The sequence below is a fragment of the Homo sapiens genome, chromosome 2, assembly GCF_000001405.40.
Source record: "Homo sapiens chromosome 2, GRCh38.p14 Primary Assembly".
In the NCBI taxonomy this organism is placed as follows: Eukaryota; Metazoa; Chordata; class Mammalia; order Primates; family Hominidae; genus Homo; species Homo sapiens.
Genome location: NC_000002.12, coordinates 52891239 through 52917625, shown reverse-complemented (window position 1 = coordinate 52917625; position 26387 = coordinate 52891239). Strand labels below are relative to the sequence as shown.

Here is a 26387-nt window from a genome sequence, read left to right as displayed (position 1 = left end):
ATTTAACAGATATTTTTTCAGCATATATTATGTTTATGCCTCTGCTCTAGATTCTGGGAGTGTAGATTATTCCATAAATAGCTACTTAAATAAGCTAGATAAGATAGTTGTTCAGAAGGAGTTAGGTTCCAGTGGAAAGAAACAATCAATAAACAAGCAAACGAACATGTTAACATTTTTAGGTTATGGTAAGTTTTATAAAGAAAAAAATACAAAGTAACATGTTAGGTAATTCCTGGAGTTGAAGAAAGCTAAAGTTGATTACAGATTGAGGAGTATGGAAAGGCATATGGAGGAGGTGATAGTTGAGCTGCGAAAAAGCCAGACTTGGAAACACTCCAAGAGCACTCCAAGCAGGAAGAATATTATGTGCCACGACCCTAGAATAAGAATGAAATTCCAGGAACTGGAAGTAATACCAGGAACAGGTTGAATGCTTCAACCTGTGTGGTTGAAGCATAGTTAAGTGATAAGGTCAGAGAGGTAAGTCAGAGTAAGGTCAGATAGTAAGTCAGAGCAAGGAGAGTCAGTTTAAATGTAATGCAAAACGATTGGATGGTTTGCACAGGGAAGGGAATGGATCTCATTTGTATTTTTGAAAAATTCATACTGGCTGCTATATAGAAGGTGGAAACTGCAGGAAAGGAACAGACATGGCAAATACAGAAGCAGAGATACTAGTTAAGAAGCTATCATGGGAATCCACACAAAATATAATGGTGCTGTAGAGACTAGATAAGAGTGGAAAAAGAGGCCGATTCAATGAATTTGGGCTATATATGAAAGTACAGTGAACAAGTTTATATAGTTTTCATTTTATGCCTGAGAAAACTAAGATTCCAAGAAGCTAAATAAAAGTATCCCAAAAACATAAAGCAATAGTTTAAACATAGGTATTCTGATTTGAAGACTGTCAGATGATTATTTTAAATGAATAATTTTTTAACAGTAAAGTTCTCCTAAATATTGTACTATCTTTGATGGCTCCATTGAAAAACATTTCTGTTGGCATAAATATGTCTTCATTCCGTTGAATTTCTTTCCTATACTTTATTTTTAAAAGGGAATATAAATACTTTTGCGAAAATTGACCATATTGTATTACCAAAGAAGTGATATCAAGAAAGTAATGTCTTAGCTCTATAAGTTACTTCACTCTTAAGAAGACTGCAGAATTAGACATGGTATCAATATTGCTGAATCCTAGAATGGCTCTTTTAAATAGCAATCTGCTGGTGATTCCTGCTTTTAAAATATTAGATAATTTTTACAGCAGTACAGCATTATTTTGCCTGGATTTCTCAAAATTCAGCCACAGGTTACCCAGAAATATACCTTGGAAAATCACATGTGTACTTTTCTCTAAAACTGGGTTTGTAATATTTTTATGCATATCCAAATGTTTTAAAGATGACTTTCCTAGCAAGTAGTTGTTTTACTACAAGAAGATCATAACAAAATAATACTTGGAACATACATGAATTCTACCACATAAGAACAATGGGAAAATATAGAAAGGAAGTGAGGTTCTTTCACATTTGGTGGCATGACCTCTATTGCTTGGGGCTTTGTCAAATATCTATCTAAAGCAATGTGGACTTAAGGAAGGATGCCAGGTGGAGATTTGTCCAGTTTTGCTCTTTGGTTGAATGTTTCCATTGTATTTACAAAATAATATAGAAATAGTTTAGAAATAGGGATGACAGATTGAACTAATATATATAGCTTTACATTATTCCTTAATTCCATAGTTTTGAAGCAACTACAGCCCAATGAGGTTAGTTATTATAGTAAAAAATCTTCTACCTTACTCTGACTTTGGAATAATTTGCAGATAATTTAGAATTAGCTTTACAAAATCATTTTTTACAGCTTTATTATTTCTTGCTTACTTCCGAAACAAATCTTCTTGACTTTCTTATTCCATTAATGGCAATCAGATTTATCTCAGATTCTTAGGCTTGAAATCATGGTGGCATTTTTCCTTTTTAAATTTTTATTTTTGGGCATTCATGGTTATATCTGATACATATTAAGTCTCATAGATTCTGCTTTTCCATTTGTTAAATTATATTTCTACCCCATCTGCCTGCTTCTGTTCACTTTCCTGAAGTTCTAGCATAGGTTCGTATTCCATCTTACGTGTAATATTCTCACAGCTTTCTAATTTTGAAAAAAGATAAAAACATAATCAGCCCTTCCAAATTAGGAATAACATTTGAGCCACCCTCCAAATCAGGAAAAGAATTTCACTAAATTCAAGACCAATGGAAGGGCAATGGCAACAATTAGTAGACTCTGCTACAGTTGTACTGAGTAAACCTGTCTTTGTCCAGCAAAATAAGGTCTGTAACAGACTGGAAAGTCAGCTATCATCCTTCTGTTCCCTGAAGGTTCTTTTTAACACAGCCAAAGTAGCCTTTCTCTACACTTATAATCATTTGGATATCATACTTCTAGAAAAAAAAAACAGTAGCAGAAAATTGGAAGTAGGGACTGATCTTAGTCTCCATCTGCTGATCTGTGACTATCCTCTCAAGTTAAGATCTGCCATAACTAAGATAGGAAGAACATTGGTAGAAGAATATTCTCAAGATTTTAGTTTTAATAGATTGGGTCCACTGAGACTATTAAGAAGCCATTCACCTGGAAGAGCAGAAGATTCCATACTGATGTAGCAAAGCCACACTAGGTATTGGGAAATTATTCAAGACGCATTCTAATACCCATAAACTTACCATCTTACTATAGAAAATGCTAATGCTAATGCATTAGCATCACTCAGGACAGATCATATGGGCATGTACTGTAGGCTCTTACCAAAGAGAAAGTTCCAGCTCTTGCCACTCCTCCACTTTGTACCAAATGGTTACCTAGTTTTAGTATATTTATGAAAGCATGGCCTTGTTGCTTACCTGGTGGCTCATGATATTACCTTTGCCTCATTACCCAAAAATCTCCTGTGTAGCCCTTCACTACAAGTGAATTTTATTGCAAATCACAACCTGGAACACCTGGGCATGATACAGCGGTGGTATCTCTACATGAACCTCAGCAGGTGCATGAAAGTCAGGGGAGCCATTCTTAACCTTTCCTATTCTCCTTAATTTTTTAACCATTCTTGTATATAAGGGAGTAGGCATATTAAATTCTATTGTAGGACTGAAAGTAAACAAAATGAATTATAATACAAGATAGAGGGGAAATTTTAAAAATTCTATCACTAAGGAAAGCACAACATATTTTAAACACAGCATGAAAGCATGCCCTGTATAGACATATTCAGTCATTAGTGTGTGTCCTCTGGTCTCTGAGGACTTCCTTCTTCAAACTTTTTCAGGGTTAGTCTTTACCACCTCCTAATATCTTGCTCTTAAGGCTTGATGCCATCTACTATTTCAAATGCAATGTCTAAGACAAAATAACACCTAACAGCTCATTTTGTAAAATTAGCATTTGGTGTAGCAAAAATATATAGAAAATGGAGGAGGAGCACCTGTGGAATTTCAGGGAGGCTTTGATAGTCCAAGTCCATCCATATTCACTACTAGTGTAAAGTACAGATATGCTGTTTGGCATGTAATGAATGTTCATCAGCTAATGAACGTCTGAAACACAGACCTCACTTATGACTGCATGTGTGCATGCTGCCACACACACAGATATACACGCAGCAACATAGCAACATACCTGGCGTGTGTGCCCACACACATACACTCTCTCTCCAAAGAACAAATCTTAGTTTAAAGAAAATCACAGTGTCTGGATAAATATTAAAAATCATTCTCTAAGTTTAACAAAATATGCCTATACCCTTGCAAAAGTGATAACACCTTACATCATTATGCCTCCTAGTCAATATCTGCCTTTATACTCTATCCAGAGGTCCATGGGTGCTTATGAAATGGGGATGTTTAACAATCCTATTTTAAATGACAGCATTTTCTGCCTTTGGTAGATATACTCTGGTTACACAGATAAACAGTCGAAATTTTGAAATAATGCTTTTTACATCTATTGATCAAAATGCATCCTTAGGTGCAGGGTGTCCAGATTATCCTCTGTAAGTGAAAGAAAGATGATGTGAGAGTTTACTATCCTCATATTCATGTGGTAATGTAGGGGTCCAATCACAAGATCTATAGACCTACCTTCTCAAAAATGTGTAAATAAAGTTGAACCAATAAAATCAATAAAAATATTACAGAATATATGAATAAAAACATGCAATATTTATCTTTCTGTGCCTGGTTTGTTTCATTTAATATAATGTCTTACAGTCTCAAAAAGATGATCTCATAGAAGTAGAGAGTAGAATAGTGGTTGCTAAAGGCTAAAGAGGGTAGGGGAATGGGGAGTATAGGGAGAAGTTGGTTGACAGATACGAAATTATAGCTACATAGGAAGAATAAATTCTAGATAGAAAGAATATAGCACTGTGGGGTGACTATAGTAGCAGTAATTTATTGTATATTTTTGAGTATCTGTAGGGTAGCATTTTGAATGTTCCAAGCACAAATAGGTGATGAAGATGCTAACTTACCCTGATTTGATCATACACATCGTATACAGGTACCAAAATATTCTGCACCCCATAAATATGTACAATTATTATGTGCCAATTAAAAATTAAAGCAAATAAACAAACACAAGTATACAACAAAAGAAAATAGCACTAGCTTGAAGAATTCTAAAGGAAACAAAGGCCTTAGAGTACAAGCGCTGAACTTTGAAAACAATCACAGAAATCAGAAGACTTATTTAGACACTTGTATGGAACTCTGATCAGAAAACAGAAGGCATGGAAGTTAAAATAAGGCATAAATAACCATAAGGAAAGAAGATATTAAGAAGAAAACGTTTACAATAGAATGAAACGAAAAGTAATAGGCAAAATAGAAAAGAAAGTAGAATAATGAATAGCATTAATTATTTTACTTCCTTGTTCTACTTGCCAAACTTTCAGAGGTAAACTAAAACCAGGTAACCATTGGGTACAAAGTAGAGGAGTTGGAAGAGTTGGAACTTTCTGTTTGGTAAAAGCCTATAGTACATGCCCTGATTCTCTGTCCTGAGCAATGGTAATGCATTAGCGTTAGCATTTTCTATGGTAAGGTGGTGAGTTTATGGGTTTTAGAATGTACCTTGAATAATTTCCCAAAACCTAGTGTGATTTGATAGCCCAGTATGGAATCTTCTCGTATTCACTAATAATGAGAAATATTCTGAATATCACCTTTTAATGAGCACTGGAGATAACCATAATACAAATTACCTATCATTCTTAACCATTTATCAACACAATTCAGGTGGAATTTCTTCCTATATTTGATAATCATTTAAAACAATGACTAGAAATATTCTGTCTCACCCCCCAAAAGTCTAAACTATTTACACAATAGGATCATAAAAATGAAAAATTGTGTCTATTTTGTCATAAAATGGATAAATCCAATAATGCCCTTTCATGAAGTAAAATTGCATAAACATATATATTTAACATTTTTATTACCAAGGAATACGAATATAGTTTTATCCATCTTTATGCCATAGTTTTCTGATCTATTAACATTTATAATAATTTAATTAGTTTATATATAAAGCATTTAGAATAGTGGCTGCACAAGTTGAGTATTCAGTACGTAATATAAGTTAATACAAATTATAATATTGGAACAATCCAAGTGATTTCAGATTTAAGATGTTATCAGTAAGCCTTTTTAAATGTTCTCCTTCACCAGTGAATGCTTCTTTGCTAATTATGTATATGTTAATATATCTAATACAAGATAATGCATTTAACAAATTTGTTAGAAAATACAGGAAATAAAAAATATGGCAATATATACCAAAATGTTACCTGATATTATTGTGTAGATGGAGATTTGGGATACTTTTTATACTGTTTAATTTCTGCATTTTTCTGAATGTTGTACAATAAGCATGCTATACATTAACTTTACTTTCAGAAATTATATCTTATTTGTAATTACCAGTATATGCCTCTTAATTCTCTAATAATGTAAAAACAATTGTATAACAAGAAACTACAGAGAAATCACTAATATGACTATGCAGTGAGTATTCAGGTATGTTTCTTTCTACTTCTTTTCCAGGTTTTCTCATAATAGTATGTCATATTTTTTAAATAAAGTATTTAAATATACTATATAGGCCAGTATGAAATATCTCTTGCATTCAATCATTCTTACTTTCTCCAACTTAAAATTCTCTGTCCCTCTTTTAAACTCTGATAATTACTTCCACTTCTGTTGGTTATTCATGGTTTTCTGTCTTTCATTATATTTATTTGTGTAACTTTTGTGTTAGAATGTCGTTTCAATGGGTTGTATGCAATTCCATATTATTCTTAATTCAAATGGGCATAACTATGATAGATTCAACATATTATTCTTGTACTAAAAACTTTGTGACATTTATGTTAGCTAAAAGTACCATTATTTTTAACCTCCTATGAGTAGCCATGAAGACATACATTTTTCACAGAGGGAATCTAAAAAGTTACATAATAGTATGAAATTTCCTCAGAAATGAAATGTTAAACAATACAGAGCATCTACTGAATTAATATAAACACTGACTTAGTAATAAGGAGATCTATGTTTTATTTCTTGTTTTAACCTCTAAAGAGTTTAGCTATTTTCTGAAGCACTGGTGATCATTTCTGGGGAAGTAAGGTTTCAGATTGGAGCAATGATCTATAAGTTTTCCATGCATCAAATTACAGTATATTCTCTCTTTGTTTTGTGGGGGGATGTAGTCTAGTTTCTTTCACTCCATGTTGTTGCATGTTTCAGTAGTTTACTGCTTTGTATTGCTGAGTCGACTTCATTGTATGAGTATACTAAATTTGTCCATTCTACTTATTAATGGACATTTATGTTGTTTCCAGCTTGGAGTATTGCAAATATGACTGCCAAAAACTTTCATGTACATACAGTTTCATTCTTTTGGGTAAATACCTAAAAGCATAATGGCTGGATCATTAGATAGGAATATATTTAATTTATTAAGAACCTGTCCAACGGGTTTTAAAGTGGCTGTACTATTTTACATTTTCACTAGCAGTGTATAGCACTGATAGATCTTTCACATCCACACAAACCTTCTTTGGTCAATATTTAGAGTTAGCCATACTAATAGGTGTGTCGCACTATCTCACTGTGGTTTTAATTTATATCTCCTTAATAATTAATATTGTTGAGCATCTTATGTGCTTTTTGCTGTTTATCTTTTTTTGCTGAAATGTCTATTCAAATATTTTGCTCGGTTGAAAAATGATTTATTTTCTTGTTATCAGATTTTGAGAGTGATTTAGATACTCTGAATATGAATCCTTTGTCAGATATGTGATTCGTAAAAATTTTCTTCTCCTTTTCTAAGGATTGTCACTTCATTCTTTCAATAGTTTCTTTCAGAGATTCTTTTATTTAAGTTTTATAAAGTCAAATTTATCATATTTTTTATTTTATGTATTATACGTAAGAAATATTTTTCTAAGCCAAGGTCACAAATATTTATGCCTATGTTTTCTTGAAATTTCAAACAATAATTGTAGATTTGTCTTTTTTTCCTTGCAGTTCTATCAGATTTCGCTTCAAAAATTTTGGACCTTTGTTACTAGGTACATAAACATCTGAGGTAGGTATATTAAGTTGTGCCTTTTTTTTTTGAAAAAATCAAATCTGATAATCTCTGCCTTTTAATTGGAATTTTAAATCTATTACATTTAATGTTATTTAAAATTAAAATTTATCTTGCAATTAATATTATATTTGTTTTATTCGTTCTCGCCTTACATTTTCTCATTTTTTTGCCTTCTTTGAATTACTTATAAGATTATGGTTATTCCTTCTTATCTCCTCTAATAGCTTTTTAGCTTCAATCAATTATTTTGTTATTTTTGATTATTGCTTTTATGTTTACAGTGTACATATGTAATAATATAGTCTACCTTAAAGTGACATACAAATTCACATGTAGTATAAGAACCTTGTAATAATATACTTCCGTTTCTCCCCTCTGGGCCTGTATGTTATTATTATACATTTTATTTCTGCACATAGTATAAAGTCCACACTACATTGTTATAATTTTGTTTAAACAATCTGTTATCCTTTAAAGAGATTTCAATAATGAGAAAAAATCATATGCATTTGCCTACCCAGTTACCATTTCCAATACTCTATTCTCGGTGCAACCCGAAGTTCCATCTGGTATGATCTTTCTTTCATCTTAAGGGTTTCTTGTAAGATTTCTTCAGTCTTATGCTGATAAATTCTTTTACCTTTTGTATTTCTAAAAAAGTCTTCTTTCACCTTCATTTCAAAAAATAGTTTTGTTGGGTATATAATTCTATGTTGCTGAGTTTTTTTCTTTCAGTGCTTTAAGATGTTACTCTACTGTATTCTCATTTGCATTGTTTCTGTTGATAAATATATGGTCAATGCTAATGTTTAACAAGCTTCTTGGATCTGTGGGCTTATAATTTTCATAAATTTTGAAATTTTATTTTTTAAAATATTTTTCATTTCCCATTCCCTCTATTATCTTCATCAAGAACTACAATTACACATACATTAGACTGCTTCAATTTGTTTCACAGCTCTCTAGTGTTGTCTTTAAGTCTTTCTTCTCTCTGTTTTATTTTCGAAAGTTTTTATTGCTGTCTTTTCAAATACGTTATTCTAATGTCTGATATATTATTTATCTCAACCAGTGTATCTTTCAACTAGACATTTCATTTTTCATCTCTGGAAGTTAAATTTTGTTCTGTTTTTATATTATTCTTGCCTCTATAAAACATTTCTATCCTTTTCTCCAGTTTTTTGAATATAAAGAATATAGTTACAAGAGTTTTCATATCCTTGTCTACTAATTGTACAATATTTATGAGTTCCATATTGGCTTCATTCGATGAATTTTTCTCCTCACTGTTGGTTGTAGTTTTCTAATCCTTTGAATATCTAATAATTTTTGATATGACACCAAAATCTTAATTTTATATTTTTGGGTGCTGAATATTTTTGTATTCCTGTGAATAGTCTATAGCTTTTTTCTGAGATGTGGTTAAGTTACTTGGAAACAGTTTTATCATTTCGGGATGAAACAAAAGGATAAGCAGTAAGGATAAAACCAAATAAACGAGCAAAAACAAGATTGAAGATAAATATGGTCTCTGTTGTTCCACCATTATTGGAAGTGAAGTTCCATCATAAACTTTTAATGTTTTTTCCCAGTTATTCTTTTTGTTAATTTTTAGTTTTTTTACTATACTTTAAGTTCTGGGATACATGCACAGAATGTGCAGGTTTATTATATAGGTATACACGTGTCATGGTGGTTTGCTGCATCCATCAACCTGTCATCTGCATTAGGTATTTCTCCTAATGCTATCCCTCCCTTACCCCCCACCCCCAACAGGCCCTGGTGTGTGATGTTCCCCTCCCTGTGTCCATGTCTTCTCATTGTTCAACTCCCACTTATGAGTGAGAACCTGTGGTGTTTAGTTTTCTGTTCCTGTGTTAGTTTTCTGAGAATGATGGTTTCCAGTTTCATCCATGTCTCTGCAAAGGACATGAACTCATCCTTTTTTATGGCTGCACAGTATTCCATGGTGTATATGTGCCACATTTTCTTTATCCAGTCTATCATTGATGGGCATTTGGGTTGGTTCCAAGTCTTTGCTATGGTGAATAGTGCTGCAATAAACATACGTGTGCATGTGTCTTTAGAGTAGAATGATTTATAATCCTTTGGGTATATACCGAGTAATGAGATTATTGGGTCAAATGGTATCTCTGGTTCTAGATCCTTGAGAAATCGCCACACCATCTTCCACAATGGATGAATTAATTTACACTCCCTCCAACAGTGTAAAAGCATTCCTATTTCTCCACATCCTCTCTAGCATCTGTTGTTTCCTGACTTTTTAATGATCGCTATTCTAACTGGCATGACATGGTATCTCATTGTAGTTTTGATTTTCATTTCTCTGATGACCAGTGATGATGAGCTTTTTTTTCATATGTTTTTTGGCCACATAAATGTCCTCTTTTGAGAAGTGTTCGTTTATGTCCTTTGTCCACTTTTTGATGGGGTTGTTTGTTTTTTGGACACAAACAAATGGAAAAACATTCCATGCTCATGGATAGGAACAATCAATATCATGAAAAAGGCCATGCTGCCCAAAGTGATTTATAGATTCAATGCTATCCCCATCAAGGTAACGTTGACTTTCTTCACAGAATTAGAAAAAACTACTTTAAATTTCATATGGAACCAAAAAAGAGTCAGTAGAGCCAAGACAATTCTAAGCAAAAAGAACAAAGCTGGAGGCATCATGCTACGTGACTTCAAACTATACTACAAGGCTGCAGTAACCAAAACAGCATGATTCTGGTACCAAAACAGGTATATAGACCAATGGAACAGAGCAGAGGCCTCAGAAATAATGCCACACATCTACAACCATCTGGTCTTTGACAAACCTGACAAAAACAAGCAGTGGGGAAAGGATTCTCTAATAAATGGTGTTGGGAAAACTGGCTGGTCATATGCAGAAAACTGAAACTGGACCCCTTCCTTACACCTTATATAAAAATTAACTCAAGATGGATTAAAGACTTAAGTGTAAGACCTAAGACCATAAAAATGCTAGAAGAAAACCTGGGCAATACCATTCAGGACATAGGCATGGATGAAGACTTCATGACTGAAATACCAAAAGCAATGGCAACAAAAGCCAGAATTGATAGATGAGATCTAATTAAACTAAAGAGATTCTTCACAGCAAAAGAAACTATCATCAGAGCGAAAAGGTGACCTACAGAATGGGAGAAAATCTTTGCAATCTATCCACCTGACAAAGGGCTAATGTCCAGAATCTAGAAGGAACATAAGCAAATTTATAAGAAAAAAAAAAACAACTCCAGTTATTCTTAGTAATGATTGTTTTATAAATGCTTGTTAATAATCAAAATACATAAATACTTAAGTGATTCTAAAGGTCACCTTTAAGTCACTTTCATCAAACTACAAGTTTAAACTGGGAGTAACAAGTGCTACTAATCTTCTACATTTTTTGTTTCCACTTATTTGTTTTGTTTTCTTCTTATTGCTTATTCTTTTGTTTCATTTTTCTAAACTTTTCGCTTCATATTAATTAATTTGTGTTTCCCAGAGAATTTTTAGTTCTAATTCTGCAAGAGTTAGTTACATGGGATGTCAAATGTTAGAAAGAAAGAAAGAAAGAAGGAAAGAAGGAAAGAAGGAAGGAAATAAAGAAAGAAAGAAAGAAAGAAAGGGGATAAAGAGAGAAGAAAGGGGAAGTAGAAGGAGGCTGGATATTTTTAAACTACAATGTATAAGACATTTTCAGGGAGACAAAGACAAACAGGACAGATTATTCTTAAGTTGTGACAATGTAGCTGTGGAGACACAATGCAGATATGCCTATTTTAATAACACTTTAAGTTAAACATTTAAAAGATAATAATAACTCCCTGTGTCCATTTACAGTTCATTAATTGTGATAGTACATAGCAATTTATTTTTTCTACATTCTGAAACAAAACGAAAAGTCTGTGTGTAAGCCTGTGTGAAGGCTATTTAGTACCAAATAAAACCAATTTGTATATTACATTAGAATTTTTGAGTCAACCAAAATATTTCCAAATACAAAATGTGACTGTATATGACAAGTGTTAAGTGACAAAGTTCTCTTTTCATACTTAACAGATTTTTCAGTTAAGGCTGCCAGAATGTTTTTTATGTGAATTAATCAATTACATAAACACTGGATATTTTAAAACTACAATGTATAAGACATTTTCAGGGAGACAAAGACAAACAGGACAGATTATTCTCAAGTTGTGACAATGTAGCTGTGGAGACACAATGCAGATATGACTATTTTAATAACATTTTAAGGTAAACTTTTAAAAGATAATAACAATAAAGTAATCCAAAGTAGTACATGAAAAGTATCCAAAGGAGCACAACATTACATAAATCATAACAGTTAACAAATACTATGATCACTAAACACTTATTAGTTTGGAATTTCTTTGAAGAGACTTGAGGTTTACATCAGTGGGCTCATTAGTTAGAAGAGAGGGAAGTACACTCTGGCCAGAAGTTATCTCTGTGAGGTAAGTCAGTAGTCAAAAACCACCAGGCCTGTTTGTTGATGAAGGAGCGGACTAACCCAGAAGGACTCCCTAGTTTATATTGAGAAATAGTAGGAAACAAGACAGACATTAGAGTTTAGGGGTCTGACAACATGGGAACTTAAATGCTAGACTCATAATGACTTAGTTTTGAAGGTTGATGGCATGATTAATTGCATAGGGCAGAAATATAACTTCATGGACCAGATAAATCGTGTTTAGAGGAAGAAGCACAGTATATTTAGGTTAGTGGATATTTGGCATCTGCGATGTTCAGAATTCATTCATTCATTCATTCATTCATCTGTTCGACATGATCTCAGGCATGTGCTGGTTTCTGAAGATAAAATGGTTAAGGCAGCAAATGATATGAAACATACACTTGAAAATTGAAATGGTAACTGATTTAAAGGAAGCAAAAAGGGAACTTCACTAGAAAGTAATATGACCAAAGAGGATACATTTTTAGGTACAGTGATCCAAGAAAGAGAAGTCCAAGTGGTGATATTTTAAAATGAGACTTGAAGAGAAAGAATCAAGCATGAAAAGAGCACAGGCAGAGCTAACAATGCCTATGAAGGATGAAAGGAGTTTGGCAAGTTTGGTGAGCTTTTGTGTGCAGTGTGGAGATGAGGTTAAAGAGCAAAAGCAGAAGGGCAAATCATGTAGTACATTTCATAATCCTTAGAAATAGGCTGGGTTAAATTTCAAATGCAATGGGGAGTGATTCAAAGGTTTTGTGCAGGGCAAGGCAGTAACATGATCTGGATTATAAAAGGCATGTGGAAAGCCTTGTTAAGGAGTCCTCACTGTCCAAATAACATCAGTAACCTAGTCCTGTTGAAGAGATATTTTTATATTTTTCATGTGAGGTTTTATAAAAAATCATCTTGGCATGGAATTGGTTTAAAGTCTGGAATGTAGCTGAACCTATAGTTGGATGTTAAATTGCCCCAGCTGTGGAGTTCCACAGGCCAGAAAGCCAGGCTTATTGTGAGATTAGCCCATGAAGAACAGGGAAGTGACAGGATTCAAGTACTAAGTTCGTTCCTTCCAGCAGCTGTTAGCTAGACAGACAGGAGCAGGGAGAGACTAGAAGCAGAGAGCTTTTAGAATAGGCACCATGGCACCAACCTATTTCCTAAGAAATTGGAAAATAAAATTGCGCAAAGTTAAGCTTCTAGTATGTATCCATTTTTAAATGGATTAAAAAATTACATTAGGTCTTACTGGAGAATCAATTTGAAAGGGATAAGAAACATAAAAGACTACCCTCAGCTGGAAGAATTTGGATCCATTAGAGCTTTCCTAGGGTTTAGAGTCCTATCTCATTTGAAATGTCTGTCTTGAGAAAAATCTCTTATTATGACTCCAGAAAATTACTCTTCCTAATATCAAACCTATTATAATTTGTTGTATAAAGTTTGATGCAGCTGTCTCCCACACATAAACACAAACCTTTAATCATCTTTTATTCTTACCACATTTGTTTCTTAGAACATGTATTGCCAAACCATTTTCAACAGCATATATATAACATTAAAAAATATTTTCTAAAATAGTGTGGCATTAGCATATTTATCTTTATGAATTGTCACAATTGGTGGAAGGAGTGCAATTCTTTGTGTAGATCAGATGTCTTTCTCTGGGTACCTATCATTTGTATCCAGGGGAGTAATTGTTTCAAATGGAGATCAAAGGCAGCCTTAAAGGGAAAATTGAGTTACAAGAGGATAGCTATTCCAATAAAGACTTAAAGCTGAGAAAGGCATACAATGGTGACTGGGGGAGGCATATGAGCTCAGGATGTCTGTGAACCTTGGGGACCAACATCTGGAAGAGCTGCTATCTTCTTCTCTGATTGGTCTCCAAGATACTGTTCTATTGAGTTACAGTAGGTACTAGCAGGTGCCATTTGCTTAATTCATAGACTGAATTAAAATCCGATGGTAAGCCAAATAGTAGAGAATTTGTGAAATTTCATGTTGGTAAAAATTGTGGTATTTCAAATAAAGGCTGAAAAGCTTGACGTTTTAAATAACATTTTAGATGACTGGTCCTTCAACATGTGTGTATAATAGGGAAAATAGTTTTCACTTTAATAAATTAAGAGAATTGTGGGAGTAGAAGTATAGAGAATAGGTAGAAAAAGCTAGCTTTTAAAAAACTTTTATTTTAGGTTCTGGGGTACATGTGCAAGGTTTTATATAGGTGAACTTGTGTCATGGGGGTTTGGTGTACAGATTATTTCATCACCCAGGTATTAAGGATAGTATCTAACAGGTATTTTTTTTTTTCTGATCTCTCCGTCCTCCCAACCCCCCACCCCCAAGGTGGCCACAGTGTCCATTGTTGTCCTCTTTTGGTCCATGTGTCCTCACAGTGTAGTTCTGACTTATAAGTAAGAACATGTGGTATTAGGTCTTCTGTTCCTTCATTAGTTTGTTTAGGATAATGGCCTCTAGCTCCACCCATGTCCCCGCAAAGGACATGATCTCATTCTTTTTTATGGCTGCATAGTATTCCATGGTGTATATGTACCACATATTCTTTATCCAGTCTCTAAGTGATGGATATTTAGTCTGATTCAATGTATTTGCTGTTGTGAATAGTGCTGCAATTTACATATGCATGCAAGCATGTTTCTTTTTGGTAGAATGATTTATTTTTCTTTAGTATATACCCAATAATGGGATTGCTTGGTCAAATAGTAATTCTTCTTTTAGTTCATTTCTGCATACCACTTTCTATAATGGCTGAACTAATTTACACTGCCACCAACCGTGTATAAGCATTCTCTTTTCTCCATAACCTCGCCAGCATCTGTTATTTTTTTGACTTTTTAGTGATAGCCGTTCTGACTTCTGTGAGATGATACCTTATTGTGGTTTTGATTTGAATTTCTGTAATGATTAGTGATGCTGAGCATTTTTTATATGCTGTTGGCTGCATGTATGTCTTCTTTAGAAAAGTACCTCTTCATGTCCTTTGACCACTTTTTAATGAGGTTGTTTTATTTTTTCTTGTAAATTTGCTTAAATTCCTTATAAACTCTGGATACTAGACCTTTGTTGGGTGCATAGTTTGCAAATATTTTTTGCCCATTCTGTAGGTTGTTTATTTACTCTGTTGATAGTTTCTGTTGCAGTGCAAAAGCTGTTTAGTTTAATTGGATCTCGTTTGTCAATTTTTGCTTTTGTTGCAATTGCTTTTGGCTTCTTCATCATGACATCTTCGTCAGGTCCTATGTACAGAATGGTATTCCCTAGGTTATCTTCCAAAGTTTTGGTAGTTTTAGGTTTTACATTTAAATCATTAATTCATCTTGAGTTTATTTTTGTGTATGGTATAAGGAAGGGGTCCAGTTTCAGTCTTCTGCATATGGCTAGTCAGTTATCCCAGCATGATTTATTGAATAGGTAGTCCTTTCACCATTGCTTGCTTTTGTCAGCTTTGTCAAAGATCAGTTTGTTGTAGGTATGTGGGATTACTTCTTGGCTGTCTATTCTGGTCTATTGGTCTATGCATCTGTTTTTGTACCAGTACCATACAGTTTTGGTTACTGTAGCCCTGTAGCATAGTTTCACGTTGAGTAACATGATCCTGCCAGCTTTGTTCTTTTTGCTTAGTGTTGCCTTGATTAGTCAGGATCCTTTTTGATTCCATATTTTAATTTTTTTTCTGTTTTTGGTAGTTTGATAGGAATAGCATTGAATCTGTAAATTGCTTTGGGCAGTATGGGCATTTTAACAATATTGATTTTTCTTAATCATGAGCATAGAATGTTTTTCCATTTATTTATGTCTTCTCTGATTTCTTTAAGCAGCATTTTATAACTTTCATCGTGGAGATCTGTCACCTCCCTGGTTAACTGTATTCCTAGGTATTTCATTCTTTTTGTGGCAATTATGAATGGAATTGCATTCCTGATTTTGGTTTCAGCTTGGTTGTTTTTGGCATATAGGAATGCTACTGGTTTTTGTACATTGATTTTGTATCCTGAAACTTTGCTGAAGTTGTGTATCCGTTAAAGGAGCTTCTTGGCAGAGGCTATGGGGTTTTCTAGATATAGAATCATGTTGTCTGTAAACAGGGATACTTTGATTTCTTCTCTTTTTATTTGGATGCCTTTTATTTCTTTCTCTTTCCTGATTGTTCTGGTCAGGACTTCCAATACTGTGTTGAACAGGAGTGGTGAGAGAGGGCATCCTTGTCTTGTGCCAGTTTTCAAAGAGAATACTTTCAGCTTTTGTCTGTTCAGTATGATGCTGGCCATGGGTTTGTCATAGATAGCTGTTATTGATTTGAGGTATGTTCCTTCATTGCCTGGCTTATTGAACACTTTTAACATGAAGGGATATTTAATTTTATCAAAAGCCTTTTCTGCATCTATTGGGATGGTCATGTGTTTTTTGTTTTTAGTTCTGTTTATGTGACGAATCACAGTTATTGATTTGTGTATGTTGAACCAACCTTGCATGCCAGGGATAAAGCCTACTTTATTGTGGTGGATTAGCTTTTTGATGTGCTGCTAGATTTGCTTTGCCAGTATTTTGCTAAGGATTATTACATCAATGTTCATCAAGGATATTGGCCTGACATTTTTTGTTGTTGCGTCTCTGTGAGGTTTTGGTATCAGGATAATGCTGGCCTCATAGAATGAGTTGGGAAGGAGTGCCCCCTCCTTAACTTTTTGAAATAGTTTCAGTAGGAATGGTATTCATTCTTCATTATATATCTGGTATAATTCAGCTGTGAATCCATCTGGTCTTGGGATTTTTTGGTTGGTAAGCTGAAAAAGCTAGCTTTTTAAAAGTTCATTATGTCACAGATTATCAACTAGCTTGCTTCAAGCTGGCCCCATTAATACTGGTTGTCAATCAATGTCAAAGCCACTTAGTCTCCCTTGGAATATCACAGACTGGCCAGAGAGGGGAATCTGTCATCCAGATGCCCATGATAGGACTCTTAAGTCATTCCTTTATCTTTCCAACACTCCTTCATAGCTAGTTAGAAATCAAATTTTCGTAATTTCAGTTGGACTCCTGCTGTGGCTGGTAGTTTCATATATGTTCTCATGAGATCCTTATCTTGCTTTTCTTACTGTCAGTGTTATTTCAATTACAATGGTACCAATATATGATATATTAGCACCCAAGTCTAAGGTAATCCTACATTGTAATACCACTAAGACTGATTTGTTTGTTTTATAATTCCTGTGCTACATGGACTGTGATCGCCAAGGCAAAGCATGACAGATACCATAAATAATACCTGCTGCTCAGCATACCTATTTATTTGTAATTTTTGTTATGGGAATTTTTTAACATATGCGGAAGTAGATAAAATAGTATAATAAATCCAATATACCCATCAGTCAGCTTGAACTAGGTTAATATATAAATAACATTGTTTCTATTTCTGGTTTGCATTTATTGTTGTGGCTCCCTATTTTTAGTATTTTGCATCTTTAACCTGTACTACTAGCTGATTCATAGTCAAAAATATTTTTCCTCCATTATATTCAATTAGTGAGCAAATTGCTTATTGAAAGCTTATGGTTTGATATATGCATTTTCACTGCTAAAATTAAGAAAGTGATTCTCCTCCTGCAAGTTACTAGGTAAACGTCTTTCTTTCTTTCCATCATTCACTTACTCTATGACTAATTTATTTGATCACTCAGTTTTAATGAGCTTCTTGTATATTGAATATTCAAAGACAAAAATCAATCTTAAAGCAGTTTGCAGTTGATAGGGGAGACAACTATTTATTGGAGTATTTTCTGGGGAAAGAATAATTAATATTTAGCTGCAAAGCCAAGGTTATGATTTTCATCTCTTGGCACTGCATTTGCTGGAACATTGTCATTTGTGACTTTTCCATTTCTAACACATGGTTGATATAGTTCACATTTAAATCTTTTTTTATGACAACACTACAATTTATGACTATAATGCAAGTCTTTTATTTTTCCTAATAAAACTCCAGTCTTACAACAGTAAGCACAATATAATCAACAGGATTAGCATTAAAAAGCATTTTTAATAGACAAATATGTTGATTGAATAAATGAATTAATAGGTAAGTCAGTATGACACAGGATTTTTCTTGGTCATTTTGCCAGCCAGGGACCTCTGGCTGGCAATGCACCTGCCCGGGTCTTGCTTGGGCACACTACCTGCTGCAGGAGGTGCCCCACTCACTTGGTTCACCCAGGCTGAGTCTGGCTTGTGCACTGGCCCAGCCTCCAATTGGGCCAGGTGTGCCCAGCTCACCTGTGTTATAGTTAGTACCTGTGTTTGGCAGTTCCTGAGCTCTTGTCCCACATCCAAGAAGAATGAGGCTGTGCTGAAAAATGGAGAGTGAGGAGGGTAGATAAGAACTTTATTGGGTGATGGAACAGCTCTCAGCAGAAAAGGGACATAGGGGCAGACTTTCACCTCCACAGTAGGGTGGTTTCTCCTCTCATTGTGGCTGAGTCTGGGACTTCTATGGGCTCAGAACTGGAGAGTGCATGCTGATTGGTTTGTGAGTATGCAAAGAAAGGCTAATGCAAAGGCACCACTCAAAGGCAGGCAACAACAGTGTAGAAAATCAGTTAGTAAAGAGTAGATAGATGTAAAATAGGTGAAGGATGGGGATCAGTCAGAGTAAAGAATGCCAAATGGGAAGAGAGTTCTCAGTCTGGTTTGTGGATTTACCCAGGACTTGTATCTAGGCTTTAAAGTATCTTCAGCTTGAAGGTGGGATTTTGCTGGGGACCTGCCCCTATCTGCCTAGACATTTGTTTGCCTCCTGCCACTATCAATTATAGAATAGGACAGTAAAATAATTATAAATGTTTAGATTTTCATTTGAAATACATGTCAGTAGTAGAATTACATGGAGATATGATCTATCCAATGGGGAAATTCTTAGAATCAGAACACTGGGAATTCTTAGAATCAGAGCTGATAGCAATCATTTGTTCAAATCCTATCTTTCTAAAGATGAAAATTTAAAACAAAAAGGCCCAGTGACAAGTCTTCTTGTATTTTACACAGTATAGATATCGTATTCACACAGAATCTTTTTACATGATTTCTTGACAAGTGTTCCTTCTTTATACAACACTAAAAAATCTTGTAATTTGATTTAGTTATAAATGGTGAAACAAAATGACTACAACTGAAAAAAACATATTCCTGCATATAGGCTTTCTGCAGTTATATCCACTTATACCACATGATCTGAATAAATGTTTCCACAGAATGGAATTCTAAAACATTTTTATCTTGCTGTTCTGTGTACTAATAGTTCTGTTTATAGCACTGGCTCAATTATTATTAATCCCTAAATTTTACACCTTTGATGACATAATGTCATCTTGTTCTTATCTGCAGCACTGGAGTCACAGTAATTGACCTAATAAGAGAAATAAAAGTAATTATAATTTCAAGGATCATTTAGGTGTCGTTAAATGACAAAGGGTCAAGATGTAATTTCCTCCCTTGGCAGGATTAACAATAATGGAGCTGCAGTACCTTTGGCACTGGGAGACAGTTAACACAACAAAGATGGCCATTATATCTTCATCTAAATTTTAGCCTTAAAGGCATTGTAGTAGACCTTCCTCTTTAACGGCTTGTTCACACATTCTATTCACAACTAATTTCTTTGTCCCTTGTCTTTGTCCCCTGAGAAGGAGGTTTAGCCACAGAACATTCAGCACCACAGATGCCATATAAGGACATTTCTCCTTGGAAGTCTCTGAGTGGATGTCAGTTTGTGAATAGCACCCCCAAAATTATGTCTGTTTTATGTTCCTTAATTTTTCCACACAGGCCTAAAACTCAGCCAGCACTAATTATGCCAGGCCTAAAAAATGCAGCCTGCAGGGGTCAACACCACTGTGATATAGAACAGAGGAGAAGGAGAGCAAGAAATAGATCTCAGAACAAACAGGTCACAGAGAAGTACATGTGGTGCTACCTGAATGCCTACAAATTGAAATGAAGGGAGTAATTAGGAAAGAAAATCTGCTCAGATCAACGGGGTTTTCAGACTTCTGAGGATCTCATCAGAAGATTCTCTAATAACACATGTCATGAAACCCAGCATTAATTTTTGTATTTTTGTATTTTACAGGTGTTTATTGGAGCTCTTTGCCTAGAACTGATAATTGGATTCATGGTATTCTGGAGAACAAGGTATTTATGTGATTTAATGATAGAGAATAGTCCTCTGGCATAATTTCTGGGTAAACCTGTGATGATTTCAAAAGTTCCTCTAGTTATTTCTGTGAAATCCCTCTCCTGAGTGGCATTTGGAAAATCCTTTTTGGAATAAATGAATATCATGCTGGACATGCACAAAGTTGTAAATGGGAAACATCATCGCTGCTGCTCAGTGTGAACCCTTCCTTTGTGCATGAGGGAGTTGAGGATCAAGGAGATGAAATTGTTTGCCTAAGGTTACCATAAAGCCTTGAGAACCTATATAGGATTGTGAAATAAACACATTCCAAATCCTAGGGTCTGTCCCCTACTTCGTAAGCATGGGAAAATTCTCTAATCATTTTAGTTTCAATTTCTTCATTTATATGAGAATAGTAATGGGACCTACATCACAGAGTTCTCAAAAGAACTAATTGAGATAATGTATATCAAGGATCAGTGATTTGTTTTCTGTAAAGGGCCAGATAAGTAAGTATTTAGGCTTTGTTGGTCGTATAGTCTCTGTTAGAACTACTGCATCTGTGCCATTGTAGAGGAAGACAACCATAGATAATGCATAAACAAATGGCTGTGCCTGTGTTCCACTAAAACTTTATTTACAAGAAGAAGCGGACAGCCTGTGGGCCATAGTTTTCTTCCCCTAATCAATATCATTTGACATAACATATGACCGAGAGCAATGATTTCATAAATTTTATCAGACTTTATTCTCATTGTTATCATTATTTCTATTATCATATTTAGTCAATGAATGGAGAAAATCATTTCTATGTTTAGTTTTTTAAAAATTAAACTTCTGTTGATATCCCTGGGGTTATCTCCTGAGATTTGTTCACCACCACTTACAAGAGAACTTCCTCATGTCCTGGCTGTTCCTCTCTTGGGCACCGTGAGGCATTCTGGGGAAGGCAGATGGTCTCCTTCTGAGGATGAAATGCCCTGTGAAAGATCTGGAGTCTCCATGAATCCCTAATAAAGAGTTTAACACTTCAGCTCCTGCTGAAGATCAGAGGTGCTGAATGTGTAAAATGAAACTGTTGTTTGCTTCTCTCATGCAAGCAATACCATAAGGTTGTGCAGCCAGTACAGAGCATTGCCAACCCAAATCTGTCACTGAGGAGACAGAAAAGCAGTGTAGAAGTGTGTGGGCAGAATTAACGTAGAGATTTTACTCTCCTGAGACTGAAATATAGGGCAGACTAAAAAAGTGTGGGCGATGGCAAAATGTGTTAGAGCAATGTCTGAATTATCCTGTAGGACAAATAAAATTTTCTACAGCGTCTATTTCATGACACAGCATTTCTGATGTACAACTATTACAATAAAACATTAATAGGATATATAAATAAGAGATGAAAGTCTGGCACTAGCAAGAGAATCTAGGTCATACATGGTGATCCTAGAAAAGTAAAAATCACAGCAAGCAGTAAAGCCATTCTTGGTAGGGTATCTGGAATGAATGACCCCTTTTGGTTTCCATGGTTTGACTTGCTCCTCTGAGTTCTTACAACGATTAAAATTACTGATAAAACTCTAAAAATATGCAAGATCCATAATAATGTCCACAAAATAATTACAATATTAACATCAGCATTGAGTCAGTCTGTGACAGTCAGCTGCCATGCTTCAACAAAGGGACTTTAAAGAGGGCAATGAAGAAACAATCTCCATCTGAAATTCAGCACTTCAAAACTGTGAGGTAACTAATGGGCATAGAGTCATAAAATAAAATTGTTTTGAGAATAAAACATTAATTTTTAATGCAAGTCAAAACTTCTTGGAGCAGTGAGGAAAGGCTCTGCTTTCTACACAGTGCCGGAGAAGAATATGTTGTTCATATTTAATGGGTCTTTTATAAAACTTAGGCTCTTTCTGCTCATTAAGAAATATACTGGAGAGGGGTTCAAGATGGCTGAGTAGATGCAGCTAGTATGTGCCTTATCCACAGGGAGGAACCAAAATAGCAAGTAGATACTCAAATTTTAAGTAGATGATCTCAGAGAGAATACTGGGATTCAAGAAAGAAGTGCTGGGAAGCAATCAAAATGAGAAAAAGGAATTGAAGCAGCCTGCTTGTCCAAGATCGGCTGGAAAGTGGGAGAAGCTCCCAGACTCAGGGAAAGGGTATGAGAAAGACCCCCGGGCTCACACTCCTCCCACAGTATTTCACAATCCTAGCTATGGGAGAACTCCTCTACCCAGGTTGGCCTTAAGTCTAACATAGGGAGCTACCTAGAGATTGCACAGAGGCATTGCTGCAGAGAGGGAACACATGTGGAATCCCATAAGCTTCTGAGTATTGAGCAGCTGCTATTGGTACCATTCTGATAGCCAAACCTACAAGGGACCAAGCCTTTGGACAAAGGACTGTATCCTTCCCTGAGGACACCGCTACTGCCGCTGCCACCACTGAGCCTAGAAGGGAGAGGGAAGGCTAAGCACCTTCCCATGCTCTGAGGACAAATCCCACTGCCACTGTTGCAGGCAGCTTTGGGACTGAGGTACAAGGAATCTGCATATCCTTCCTATGCTGCTTTCACTGAGAATGGCCTTACCCTCCCTGGTGGCAGGCCCACAGTTCAGCTGCCACTGCCCATACCTGAGCATTCTGCCAGTGAACTGGGGAGCACTCCAATTCTGCCTATAAAAACCAGCACCTAAACACAATGCTGGGGGCCTGAGAACTAGCATGCTGGCCTGGTCTTATCCTTTCAGTAATTGAACATGCTGTCAACGGGTCTGAAAATTGCCCAACCTAATTCATTACCATTAGCACCAGAAAATTGCTTCTGAGGTTTGAGGTTGGGCTGATATCACCATAGCTGACACCTACTTGCACATGCCACCAGCAGGACAGGGTCCTGGGCTTCCCAACCTGTTGTAGCCACTGCCAACACCAAAATAGATCACTTGGATTCCAGTGGGTTGGGAATTCCACCATTGCCACTGCCATCACCCACATCACATCAGCTGGCCAGAGGCCCAAGAAACTGCCCACATATTCAGCCCACTCTTGCTTATGTGGAAGCTCAAAAACCAGACCTCCTGGGTCCACCAACACTGGTGCCAGCATAAGCCATCCAGGGGCCCAAAGACAGGCATGCTCAAGTCACCATTGCCACCACTGGGGCCTGAAGACTGGCCCATCTGGCACCCTAGTCCCCAGCAAAACTGCACCACAGCCTCCACTAATAACCAAACCCTGAGCCACTGAAGGAATCACAGATACCACTGATGCAGTTTACAGTGGAAAAAATCATACAGAAAACACACAAATGCATGCACCCAAAATCAAAGCCAAAGCATCATATCCAACCAATAACATAAATACACCTTAAGAAAAAAAGTCCTCCCCTATGAAAACAATCTTATAAATTGGAAGAAGTGATCATTACACCAGATGTACAGGTATCAGTGTAATGACAAAGGAAACATAAAAAGCAAGGCAACTTGACACCTGAAAGGAACTCATAATTCTCCAGCAAAAGAAACCAATCAAAAATAAATTGTTACAATCTCAGATAAAGAATTCAAAATACTGATTTTAAAGATGCAAGAGAATTCTGAAAAACAATACAGGTAAAATATGTATAATTCAGGATACGAATGAGAAATTTACCAGAAAGGCAGATATAACAAAGAACCAAATAGAAATTCTAAAACTGAAGAATTTATTAAATCAAATATAAAATACAATGGAAAGCTTTAATAGACTAGATCTAGCAGAAAAAATAATTTCAGAATGAGAAGTCTTTGTGACATTTGGAACAATGTAAAGTTAAATCAAATATAAAATACAATGGAAAGCTTTAATAGACTAGATCAAGCAGAAGAAGTATTTTCAGGATGAGAAAAGTCTTCATGACATTTGCAACAATATAAAATGACTAGATATTGGTATTTCCAAGGGTGAAGAAAGAACATAAAGGTTAGAAAACGTATTGAATGAAATATTAGATGACAACTTCACAAGTCTAGCTAGAGACCTAGGATTCCGGATACAGAATGCCCAAAGATCTCCAAACAGATATAATGCTAAAAGGTCTTCTTGATGACACATTATAGTCAAACTGTCTAAAGTTAAAGCAAAAGAAATACCAAAAGCAAGAAAAGAAAAGTGTCTAGTCACCTATAAAGGAACCCCAAAAGACTAACAGTAGATTTCTCAGCAGCAACTTTACAGGCCAGCAGAGAATGTGAGAATGTATTCAGAGTGCTAAAACAACAACAAAAACCACAACAACAAAACCTCAACCAAGGATACTACGTTCAGCAGAGTTATTCTTCCTGAATGAAAATAAAGGCTTTCCCAGACAACCAAAAATTTAAGGGAATTGATCACTCCTATTCTGGTCCTACAGGAAATGCTCAAGGGAGTCTTAAACTTGGAAGTGAAAGGATGACAACTACCATCATAAAAATACATGAAAGTACAAAACTCACTGGTAAACCAAACACACAAATGGGGAAAAGGAAGGACGCAAATGGTGTCACTAGAGTATAACATCAAACCACAAAGACAAACAATAAGAGAAAATGAAGAAGAAACATGCTAAGCAACCAAAAAAAAATTAACAATATGACAGTACAAAAACTCACATATCAATAATAATCTTGAATGTAAATTGATTAAATATTATTACATCTAAAGTGATAGACTTCAATATAGTAATAGTTGGTGACTTCAACACTCATTTTTAGCGTTAGACAGATCAACTAGATAGAAATCTAACAAAGGTGTATTGGATTTACACTGAACTCTAGATCAAATGGACCTTACGGATTTTAAGGAACATTTTATCCAATAACTGCAGAATATACATTTTTCCCATCGATACATGTAATACTCTCCTGTATAGACTATACGTCAGGCCCCAAAACAAGCCTCAACAAATTTTTGAAAATTGAAATCATTTCAAGTATCTTCTCAGATGACAATGGAATAAAACTAGATATCAACCCCAAGAGAAACTGGAAGCTACACAAATACGTGAAAATTAAAAATCATGCTCCTTAACAACCCTTGGGTCAATAAAGAAATTAAGATGGCAATCAAAATTTTCTTAAATGAAAACAGAAATACAACATACTAAAATTTGTGAAATACTGCAAAAGCAGTACTGAGAGGAAAGTTTATGGCAATAAATGCCTACATCAAGAAAAGCAGTTAAGATTTCAAATAAATAACCAATGATATGACCTTAAGGAACGGGAAAAGCAAGAACAAACCCCATATTAACCAGAAGAAAAGAAATAAAGATCAGAGCAAAAGTAAACAAAATACAGACTGAAAAACAATACATAGGATCAATTAAAAAGTTGGTACTTAAAAAAAGATAAACAAAATTGGTAACCTGCTACCTAGACTAACCAAGTAGAAAAGAGAAAAGAAGACTCAAATACAATCAAAATTTAAGAAGGAGACATTACAACTGGTACAACAGATGTATAAAAGATCATCAGAGAATATTATAAATAGCTATGTACTAACAAACTGGAAAACCTAGAAGAAATGGAGAAATTCCTTAAAGCATAGTACCTACCAAGATTAAATTAGAAATAAATAGAAAGTCTGCAAAAAACAGTAACAAGTAGCAAGATTAAATCAGTAATAAAAAGTTCTCTAATACAGAAAATCCTAGTATAGGATGGATTCAAAGCCAAATTCTACCAAACATAAAAGAACTAGTACCAATCCTCCTCAAACTATTCTAAAAAATTGATGAAGACGGAACCCTCACTAACTCATTCTATGAGGCCAGCATTACCCTGATACAAAAGCCAGACAAGGACACAACAGAAAACTAAACTATAAGCCAATATCTCTGATGAACATAGACACAAAAATCCTCAACAAAACATAACAATCTGAATCCAGCAGCATATCAAAATGGTCATATAACATGACCAAGTGGAATTTATCTCACGGATGCAAGAATAATTAACATATGCAGATCAATAAATATGAAATATCACA

The 26387-nt window shown here is 35.1% G+C and overlaps 1 long non-coding RNA gene across 4 annotated transcripts in view; it reads left to right on the top strand.

Annotated features, from left to right (window-relative positions):
* The window catches only part of LOC105369165 (uncharacterized), a 486292-nt gene that overhangs the window by 291342 nt on the left and 168563 nt on the right, over positions 1 to 26387 (top strand). For all 4 annotated transcript variants that reach the window (NR_187747.1, NR_187748.1, NR_187749.1 and 1 more), the window contains exons 2-3: positions 7602 to 7662; positions 20322 to 20383. This is a non-coding gene — a long non-coding RNA (uncharacterized LOC105369165). The remainder of the gene's footprint in view (positions 1 to 7601; positions 7663 to 20321; positions 20384 to 26387) is intronic.